General features: G+C 40.8%; 1 protein-coding gene and 1 long non-coding RNA gene across 11 annotated transcripts in view, besides 3 other annotated features; one reads left to right on the top strand and one right to left on the bottom strand.

Annotated features, from left to right (window-relative positions):
• The window catches only part of CBR4 (carbonyl reductase 4), a 115,770-nt gene extending 112,017 nt beyond the window's left edge, over positions 1-3,753 (bottom strand). For 9 of the 10 annotated variants that reach the window (XR_007057980.1, XR_001741341.2, XM_017008782.2 and 6 more), the window contains exons 1-3: positions 3,446-3,753; positions 1,134-1,254; positions 253-389 (exon numbers count right to left, since the gene is read on the bottom strand). Coding sequence is in view for 8 of the 10 variants with exons in the window: in XM_017008782.2 (XP_016864271.1) it covers positions 253-389; positions 1,134-1,254; positions 3,446-3,587 (400 nt within the window). In the remaining 2 variants the exon portion in view is untranslated. The remainder of the gene's footprint in view (positions 1-252; positions 390-1,133; positions 1,255-3,445) is intronic. The other variant, XM_011532386.3, reaches the window with a different exon arrangement.
• Positions 2,754-3,703: an enhancer, noted in NCBI's record as "H3K27ac hESC enhancer chr4:169930407-169931356 (GRCh37/hg19 assembly coordinates)". NCBI's record gives its function as "activates a minimal SCP1, AML or CMV promoter by ChIP-STARR-seq in primed H9 embryonic stem cells {active_cell/tissue: H9 hESC(primed)}" and the evidence as "EXISTENCE:reporter gene assay evidence [ECO:0000049][PMID:30033119]".
• Positions 3,803-4,132: an enhancer, noted in NCBI's record as "active region_22128". NCBI's record gives its function as "activates an Ori minimal core promoter by ATAC-STARR-seq in GM12878 lymphoblastoid cells {active_cell/tissue: GM12878}" and the evidence as "EXISTENCE:reporter gene assay evidence [ECO:0000049][PMID:35858748]".
• Positions 3,927-4,558, top strand: CBR4-DT (CBR4 divergent transcript). The gene is made up of 2 exons (NR_185919.1): positions 3,927-3,954; positions 4,282-4,558. It is a non-coding gene; the product is annotated as a CBR4 divergent transcript (long non-coding RNA).
• Positions 9,644-10,144: an enhancer, noted in NCBI's record as "H3K4me1 hESC enhancer chr4:169937297-169937797 (GRCh37/hg19 assembly coordinates)". NCBI's record gives its function as "activates a minimal SCP1, AML or CMV promoter by ChIP-STARR-seq in naive H9 embryonic stem cells {active_cell/tissue: H9 hESC(naive)}" and the evidence as "EXISTENCE:reporter gene assay evidence [ECO:0000049][PMID:30033119]".

Below are 10,346 nucleotides of genomic sequence, written 5' to 3' on the forward strand. Positions count from 1 at the left end.
CATTTATCACATGGCTGGTACTGTCATTTTTCTAGTACTCAGTGGTGTCACTCATTTAACACCTGCCTGACTCCTATAGGGATGTGAATGTGTGATTCTTATTTTACTCATTAATCAATTAATTAAATCCTTTTTTCCACAGATAATATAAATTTCATTCATGTTTCACAATAAATCACAAATTCGTGGATTAAATATTTTTATGGTATGGTATTATGGGATAATCATAAATTCACAAAGGTGAAGACTCACCTACATTAACAATAGACCCTCCCTGTTGTTGAATCATAGTCCTCATGGCAGCTTTACAGGTCAGCATGGAACCCAAGAGGTTAGTATGAAGCTGAGATACCATATCTTCAGTTTTTGTTCTTACTAAAAGACCATCCCTACAAAAAGAAACAGCATATAATAGCATATAATAACAAGATAAAAACCAAAAAGGTCAAGACTAATGTAACATTTTTACTGAGAGTGCAAGAAGTGCTTCCTATCTGAGCTAGAATAGCTAGAATACCTAGAGTCCCATTTTGAACTTGGCTTGAGAAACATTAAAATAACAATTGATAAACCAGAAAGGATCCACTTGGAAGACAGGTTGCTACCCCTTCTCAGCTTGAGTGGCAAATATTCTTAACCCCTAAAAAGTAGTAACATATAGCCAAAATAGTTTGAATGGCCTGAGCAACTGCCATACTAAGCCTTGTTTAGCAAGAAAATTAATATGTTATCTAAATATTCTCTCCTAAATTCATCTTTTAAAAAATAATATCCACTCCATGATTCTATTAGTATTAAGTTCACAAACTGGCAAAACTTATCTGTGGTGACAAAACTCAGAAAACAGTTACCAACAAGGAAGTATTGAGAAGACACTACCTTCTGGAGCACTGGAAACATTCTACGGCTCAATATGGGTGATGATTACAATGTTAAAATCGACTCAACTGGACATTTATTATATGTTGTATCTCAATATAAAGGAAAATAATTTATGGATTGACAAGTTTTAAAATAGTTTTTTCTCCCAGTTAGAAGCAAAATAAACATATTAACTTATACCAATCAAAGACATATTAGGAATAAAAGTTTTAAATATATATATAAGAAACTTATTTAAATCTGTGACCAACCTGTTAATACCAGCTGCATTTACCAAGAAATTTACTCGACCTAAATGTTTCTCCAGCTCTTCAAATGTATTTTGAACATCATGTTCTTTAGCAACATCACAGCTAAATGCCAAATGATCTCCTACACAACAAAGTTAAATAAGAATTACTTATAACTCAAATTTTAAATTTACTCAATACACATTTGTTAAGCATCTATCTAAGATGGCAGGCCTGTGCTAATCTAGAACCTAAAGATTAAAAAAGTAATGTCATGAGGCCTGGCTTTCATAGAGTTGGTCTAATGAAACTGGGATGCGGGAACAAAGAGGAAATAAAGTACTACTACAGAAAGTTAATTTTAAAATTTTCTTTTTAATCAACAAAGGGGGGAGGGCTTTTTCAAGTTATAAAGGCTCTGTAAGATTCATCTAATATTTATAGCTTTAACACTGAATTCATGCTACCCAATTCGACAGTCTTCTGGGTTTTATATTCCTTTTTTGAAATTTATGTCTAATTCTGTCAGGTTTTTGTTGAATTAGTTTCTTTGGCCCTGAACGGGAACTCTTGGGTTTCTTCTTTTTAAGTGCTACGGATGCACTATGGCACATATATTATAACGACTATTATTCAAACCTGACCATCAGGAGAGATGAGACAACACAGGAAGCTATAAAAATGCTAAAACTACAAACCACGGGGGGAAAAAAACACTTTTTACTAAAAGCAACTGTTACTTACCACTTTTAAAAAATGGTTAAATGCCAAAAAAAAACTACACTTCAAAGGAAAACAAAGCATTCCCTATGTAATCTACCATTTTAATACTCTAAAATGTAGGATTGTTTTTAAAAGCTAAAACAATTCTTTATTTTCTGTCTGACCTTGATAAATATGCTTACACCAACACTACCCCATCAAGCCTTTGGAAACAGTAAGCGACCCGGGGAATTATACTTTCTAGATGAAAACCAATCACTCATGGAACACGATTCAAAGGAATGCAGGGCCCAAAAGCATCCTGTGTCTCTCTTACTCTTGGTTTTCACCCGAAGACTTGTGTCCACAACCACCTTTGAAAGCCCAACTAATGGCTTCAATCCAGTCCAGCAAACACTGATGGCTTGGGGTGACACAGTAAGGGTCACCACTCTTCCCCTCCTTTGTTAGAATGGTAAGGAATATGAGCTTCAAGAAGCATTCACTGACACTCTCCCTGACCTATAACTTACAGAATCTTTTTTCTTTTAGAGAGCCCAATAGTCTCCCAACCAGCACTGAACAGGTGATACCAAACCGATCAATAATGTTAACTTAAAAATGAACAGCCACACCTGGCGTCTATAGTCCCAGGTCCTTGGGAGACTGAGGCGAGAAGATCTCTAGAGCCAGTAAATCAGGAGTTGGGGTCCAGCACGGGCAACATAATGGGAAGCCCTCTCAAAAAAAAAAAAAAAAAACCAGATACACAAAAACAGTAAGAGCCACAAGACGCACCCCTAGGCCTCTATTCTCCCCATGCCTCCCTGATAGTAAATGAAGTATAATTTTGTCCATTCTGGTGATTAAACAAATAGCATCTTCGGATCTAACGTCCTATTTCTCCCTAAACTCAATGAAGAGTTATATTCACAAAATGACTAATCCATTCATAATAAGCCGGAAATAAAAAACCCTGAAGTTTAAATGCAATAAAAAAGAATTTGGCAGAACAAAGTTCAATTGTCCATTTGCAAAACTCACCAAAACAATTTAATAACATTAAAGCAAACCAGGTATATCTCAAAACTGGCTGGTACTCAAAAGGGTTTCTCTATCAAACACTGCTTTGTGCATTCGCGCAGGGCCAAGGCACGGCCCTTGGGCAAAACTGAAGGGAGCCGTTGGTACCTGCACTCCCACCTTTCCTGCCTGAACTCCTTTCGACCCAGCCCTGTCTCCGGGGGCCGAGAACTCGCCCTTTTCCCTACATTAAAAGTAAACTGTTACGTGGCTCTCTCCCACAACAGGGAAGCTCCTCAGCGTTAGCACTAGCCGCAGGGCGGAGGGTGCGTATAGCGGGGCCTCAAAAGACTACGAGGTCTCAAAGAACACCCCAAGTGTTCAGCCCTCGGCGGCAAGCTGCGTGGCCGGCATTCTGCGAGGCATAGGGAGATCGCGGGTTTCTGCACGAGACGCATTCTACCCTTGGAACGGGAGAGCGCCTGCACGCGGCTACATCGAGTAACCCTAGAGCCCTAAAGGCCAGACCCGCTCTTTTTACAAAGGAGATTTTCTTTAGGCGCCTGGACCGCGGCCATACAACTGGACAACTCCAGTTTGGTACCTACCGCCGAGGTCACCGGCGGCGGCTTTGGCCCCTTCCAGGTTTCTGGCAATGACCGCCAGTCGGTAGCCTTTCCGGGCCATTAACTGGGCCACAGCTCTGCCAATGCCTCGGGAGCCTCCAAAAACAGCACACACTTTGTCCATCTCGGAGTCACAAACTCGGAGGAAAGAGGGTAGGGAGTGGGAGCCCCTCTCCAGGTTCCCTCAGGCTTTTAAACAACCGCGGTTCCAAAAAAAAAAAAAAGAAAAAAAAAGGCAAACCGCAAAAAAAAATAACGCCGCTCGACACCTCCTGCAGCCGCACAATAGTAATGCAAGACGCCGTGAAAAGGAGGAAGAGCTCGACGTCGCCGCGTCGACGTCATCACGCACGGACTCTTCCGCGCCACACCTAACAAATACGCCGACGAGAGCTCCCCGCCGGCGGAAGAATGGCCTGGAGAGGGCCTCGATGCTTGCTGGGACCTGTAGTCTTGACGCATGAGAGCAACTGGCGCAGGCGCGCTGCTCGGTGGGGAATGTACTTGTGGCACTGAGGGGGATCCTCTGTCCCCGCTGGGTCATATCAGTCGGGATTCGAGCCCCGGTGACCAATCGACCCGGTTTGTTCGGAACTGACAGGGTTGTCAAGACGCTGGGCTTTCCCTGGCAAACCAAGACGACCTGATCACGTAGTTAGAACCCAGAGAAAGCATTACTGGGCGTGAGCCGGTCGGGGCTCCGGTATTTGCCCTTCGCCCAGGTGTTGTTTTGGCTACAGACTTGATGTCCTACCTGTTGAAGAAGTCCCCAAGAATCGCACCCACACCAAAACCTACCCTACCTGTTCCTCCCCCAGGTTGCTGTAGAAATGGACCTCTACCCGCCCAGATGTTACCATTCATCGCGAAGGGTGTCGTGAAGATGAATGCCCTGTCGAACATCATCCAGCAGGAGGTCAAGGAATTTTAACTGAATGATTGAATAGTCTTGCAAGATCTATGAAACAAGCTTCGGCTGCTGTAGAGAAACAAAAATGGGTTCCTGCAATTCTAAATAAGATGTACTGGGTGCTCTGAGAGTTAATAAGCTAAAAAATTCAATGTTTGTTACAATTATAGTGTAAACAGAAAGCATTTCTGATACAATATTATTTTACTAGATTCAGAAAAGTATGAGCCATGGTCCCTACCACTAAAAAAACTACAACCCAGAACTACAGGACTAATACACATGAAACACTAGGAGGTATCCAAAATCATACTTAGTAAAATGCAAAATTATATTAACACAAGAGCTCCGAGAAAATGGAGATCAGTGAAGAATGAAGGGGTGCATGGAAAAGCTGGATTTGAGGGCTGGATGAGGTTTGAAAAAAGGAAAACAAGAGCAAAAAGTCTATAAATAAGCAAGTTGAGCATTAATTTAAATTTGTTATTCCTATTCCATTTAGATCCAAAAAAAGATTTGAAATGGTTTGCAAAAATACATGAGTATTTGAATTTAAAAGGCAAAGAGGACCACTGCCCCTTCTCCCACAAGGCCAGAACAATAAATTAGGTCAGTGGAAAAAATACGAATAAAGTCATGCTATAAGAATCTATTTAGTATTAAAGAAGAGATTCATAAACTTAGAGTTTCCTGCCAGCGAAAGCAACAAAGGAAATATAATTACAAGTGGTAATTTCTGTAAGAAATCAGCCTCCTGGTTATGCAGCAGAGAAGCCTGAGCAAAACTCCCTCCTCATAGGTCCTCCTAAATGGCACACTAAGCATTGTAGTAGACAGTGAGCTTCATGAAAAGAAAAAGAGATTGTAAGGCTGTTTTCATAGCATCTATTAGACTTTATTAAAAGCAAATACAATAGGAAGTTAAACAATATAAGCAAACAGTCACACATAAAAATTGTGTCTTTGAAACAATATATGTTTGAAACAATGAGGAAACAAGCCTGAGGAAATTTGGGATGGTGCTATATTATAGTCAGCTTTAAAGTCAGGTGCCAAGCATTAAACAGGCCTTTAACTGCAGAAGTAATAAGATAAGAGCTGCATTTAAGAACTATTAGCAGGCCAGGCGTGGTGGCTCATGCCTGTAATCCCAGCACTTTGGGAGGCTGAGACAGGAGGATTGCTTGAGTCTAGAAGTTCAAAACCAACCCAGGAAACACAGCAAGACCCCCACCCCCCCGACCCCCATCTCTACAGAAAATACAAAAAAAAATTAGCTGGACATGGTGGCCTACCTGTGGTCCCAGCTACTCGGGAGGCTGAGTTGGGAGGATCATGTAAGTCCAGGAGGTCAAGGCTGCAGTGAGCCATGATTGCACCACTGCAGTCCAGCCTGCATGACACAGCAGGACCCTGTCTCAAAATAACAGTGTTCTAAAAAACAAACAAACAGTTTCCCAGTGATGTAAAAATGGGTCAGATCAAATTTGTCTATTCACTTTCCTACTATACACTATGCAATCTTGGAAAGAAAAAACTGTTTTACATAAATTACCAATATAAGGGTCAGCCTAAATGCCAACTGTATTCCTGCACCTTAGGTCAAACCAGAGAGGTTTATCTTTTGAACAGTTCTCTCCATTTGCTAGGAAAATGATTATTTTTTTTTCTACACATTGTTATTTTAGCAAAAAAAAATGGTTTTTAGATCTATGCCATCTATCATGAAGATCACTAACACATGATATGAGGTGACATTCAGAATTCTGAAAACCTTCCAACTTTTCTCACTGTATATATACTGTAAATGGATAAGCTGGGCTTTTTATTCAACACATACCTCAGGTTAAACCTCAAGGTTATTATTTATTTTTTTTCCCTCTTAATACAATATCACCACTATCCCGGGTGAGAATACATCTATCACAGCACATCACCCATTAGCTGAGAAGGTTACAGCAGGGGAAGTTTCTCTGTAAGCCCCTGATAGTGAAGTGAGGATCTGTAAATTAAACTGGGTCTCCCCTACCCAGCAGGACATTGAAGGAAGCCATTAGAATGACCCACCTTTAGTCTTTCCTTCTCACTAAACATGCCACTTTTGTGGTAATATTTTAACCATATGTTATACTTTAACTTAAATCCACATAGGATATATTTTCTCTTGGCTCCCACAATCGAAGGAGAAAATTCCTTATGTATAAGGACTGTTATACAAATTTTTAAATATGCATACCTAGTATTACTTTTCTGATTACAAAAGGAATACCATTTAATTGCTAACAGTTAGAAAACATAAACTTTTTAAAGTAAATAAAAACTCATTGAAAGCATTGTACACTTTAAGCGTGTGAATTGTATCGTATGCAAATTATATCCCAATGGAACTGTTATTGAAAAAGATGTAATTTAAAGCCTACTGCCCTGTTATACGAAATTTGAATCTGCAACTAATTATAAGGGGGTTGTACCTTTCATGAATATTTTTTTCATACGTCAAGATTTATAATGCCCAAGATTCCAAATATGCAGGAAAATTTATTTATAAGAAATTTATGAATTATGATTGAATATTCATTGAGAATCCTCTTTACAAATGCACCATACTAAGCACATCCAGCTTATCAGATCCATAATTGAAGCATAACCCTTCCTGCCAGCAAGCAGTCTCCCAGGATTCTTCAGGCAGTGATGATAATCTGCACGACCCAAATTGCATGTGGCCAGCTAACTTCTCCATACAGACCATGCTCTTCTTTCAAGAAGAAAGATTAGAAAGCTGCCTTAGTGTGGCTGCACAGATATAACTTTTATGATTAAAAAGCATGTTGATTTCCTCATTGGCATTCTTGTATCCAATCTGCTGGGTAATCTAAATTGTAAGGAATGTACTTTTTATCACTTACAAAAGTTTATTTCATTTTGATTGGGAACAAAAAATGTGGCCCATGAGCTTGTTATTTTGTTGAATTGGCGTTTATGCCTCTGAGGCTGCCCACCGAGACCTAAACCTGGCACTCAGTTGCCTAAGGCAGAAGCATGGAGTTTATTCCTTCCCTCTCTCAACATCCCACATCCAATCAGTCACAAAGTCCTGCTGATTCTACTCCCTAAATACCATTCCAACTTCTACACATCCATGCTTCTCCAAACACTGTCTTCTCAACCTCGAATGCTCCCACTGCTTTCCCTGGTAACATCTGATTTATCATTCAAAATGTGGCTCAAACATCTCTTGCAATGGAAGCTTCTCCTGACCCAAAGGAGGACATGCTGATGTCCTTCTTTACCCGTCCTCTTACCTTGTATGTGTCTTCAAGTCTGTATTTCATGGAGTTACTGTGACGTCAGAATCCACATAATTTTAGGAAGATAGTGAATAGATTCTCAAGGATCTGTGAACCTACCAAGCTGAATACAAAATCTCATGTGCTTTTTAGATGAGTAGCTTCTTGAAAGAGGGTCCACTTCCTTCACTGGGTTCTCAAGGGGAACTTTCACCTAAAATGGTTAAGTGCCAGGTGTAGTGGCTCACGCCTGTAATCCCAGCATTTTGGGAGATGGAGGCGGCAGGATCACTTGAGCCCAGGCATTTGAGACCAGCCTGGGCAACATGGTGAGACCTCATCTTTTTTAAAAAAACATAAAAAATAAAATAAAATGGTTAAAAACTTTCTGTTTTTAATTGCCAACTCTTTGAATCCAGAAATGATCACATTGGTTTTTGTTTCCCTGTTTGTAGCACAGTTCCTAGGGCTTGTGAATGCTAAATAAATGAGTTAACAAATGAATCAATGAGTGAATGAAATAACTCACTTAAAAGGAATTTATTGCTATAAGCAAGAACCAGTGTCGATACAGCTATGATTAAGATAGACCTGGTGCCTGTTTTCGTTGGGAAAATAATCTGGCAAGGAAGACAGACATTAAACAATTAATCATGCCATCACTATTTAATTCCAATGGTGGGAAGAACTATAAAGGAGAAGTACAGGCTGCTAGGAGGGATCATAACTAGGGGCATTGATCCAATATGGAGGCCTGGGGTCAGAGAAGGCTTCTTCTTTCAGGACATAATGTTCTATAAAGTAAATGAATAATAACAAAGAAAGATTGCAAAGAATGATAACTACAGCTACTATCCATTCATTATGTTACAAAGCCAACTAGGTGATAACATAATTTATACATGAAGAATAAAATTCTGAATTAAAAATTCACCCTTAATAATGAAAGAGATTGTTAGTCAAAGTAGAGTTAGTATTACGCCTAGATGAGATCACAGGTTGGACATTTCACCAGGAAGTACCATGGGAGAGCATAATGCCTGAAATTTTATGAAACTCTTTTTTTTTTCCCAGCCAAAAATTTTATAATGGTATAAAGCCAGCTCTGGATACTTAAAATCAGGCCCCAAATGCAGCACGCCTGCCAAGCCACATAGAAGAGGAGAACTCAGTGTTCCTGAAATTAGTTTTAAGACTGGCCTCAATCCTCTGACCCCAGCCTCTCACTATTCCATTTCCATCTCTTTGTTTCAGGGCCTTCCCCCCTCTATCCTTCTGGCTGCATAGTCTCACGTGGCTCTCAACTCACCTGCTGCATTTCCCAGACTTAAGTGAGCCTTTCCCATCCAGGCCCTGCGGCTACTCAGACTCCTAGATCTGTATCAGAGGCACGGGCCTGGCAGCCTTCACTGCACTTGGGCTCTGAAAGACGTTCTCACTCTTGCAAGTCACCTGGGAAAGCCAGAATCGATACTGTATGGTTTAACATTTGAAACTGACTTGCAGGTAATGGCTTCTGCATTTCCAGAAGGCACCCGTGTGCCTGTAGGGATCTCATTTTAAGGATCACTGCTTTTTGTTTCTCATCTACAGGCTACAGAGACCCATCTCTCAGTTTGGATTTTGATTAAACAGTTATGCAGAGTAGAAAACTTGGGCCATACACAAAACTTAATTAAAATAAGCCTCCACTTGGGATTAATGTATGTTATTGACTGAATCGTGTCCCTCCCCGCTCCCCCCTCTCCTGCCATATTCATATGTTCAAGTCCTAACCTCCAATGTGGCTGTATTTGGAGATAGTGCCCTTAGGGAGATAATTAAGATTAAATGAGGTTCTAAGGGTAGGGCTCTAATCCAATAGGACACCAGAGAGCTTGTGCTGGGAATCTCTCTCTCTCTCTCTCTCTCTCTCTCTCTCTCTCTCTCTCTCTCTCTGTCTCTCTCTCTCTCTGTTGCCTCCCTGTACAAGGCCATGTGAGGACACAGTGAGAAGGCAGCTATCTGCAAGCCCGGAAGAGAAGCCTCACCAGAAACCAACACGATTGCACCTTGATCTCAGACTTTCAGGCTCCAGAACTGTGAGAAAATTAATTTCTGGTGTCGAAACCACCCAGTCTGTGGTATTTTTTTATGGCAGTCCCAGCAGATACAATGTGACTGTTTACTTTCTTCTCTACTACAGGCAAGCTGCAAAGTGCTGCTAAGTAATATCACACAGCCACTGCTGATTGTGTGAGTTGAGTTGGGGAGAGGTTGTTACTATGAGACCTATTCCAGAGCAGAAACAGGAAGATTGTGAATCTCATCCTCGTCACTTGCCCATGGCCTGCAGCATCCAGACCCCTCGAGGTCCTCTCCTATCTTCTTGCCAAAGCTTACTTTCAGGGAGGACTTGGAAATTCATTCCCTCTAGGTGGTAAATAATGTAACAGCATAAAGTGTTATGTCACCTAGGGACATGTAAATTGAGCCGAGAGCCAAGTGTTAAGCTAAAGGGATGACAATCTAACAGGGAAATATCATCTAGCATCTACCTGTCCAACAATATGAATCTACTGCGAGCTCAGGAACATCCCCAGTATCAGATGTAAAGCTCTGGGGATAAGAGGGCAAAGAAGGCAATTACCTGAATTGTGGAGCTCACATGTGTTGAGAGAAACAGACAAATAAGCAGATTACGATA

Source organism: Homo sapiens, chromosome 4, assembly GCF_000001405.40.
Source record: "Homo sapiens chromosome 4, GRCh38.p14 Primary Assembly".
Taxonomy (NCBI): domain Eukaryota; kingdom Metazoa; phylum Chordata; class Mammalia; order Primates; family Hominidae; genus Homo; species Homo sapiens.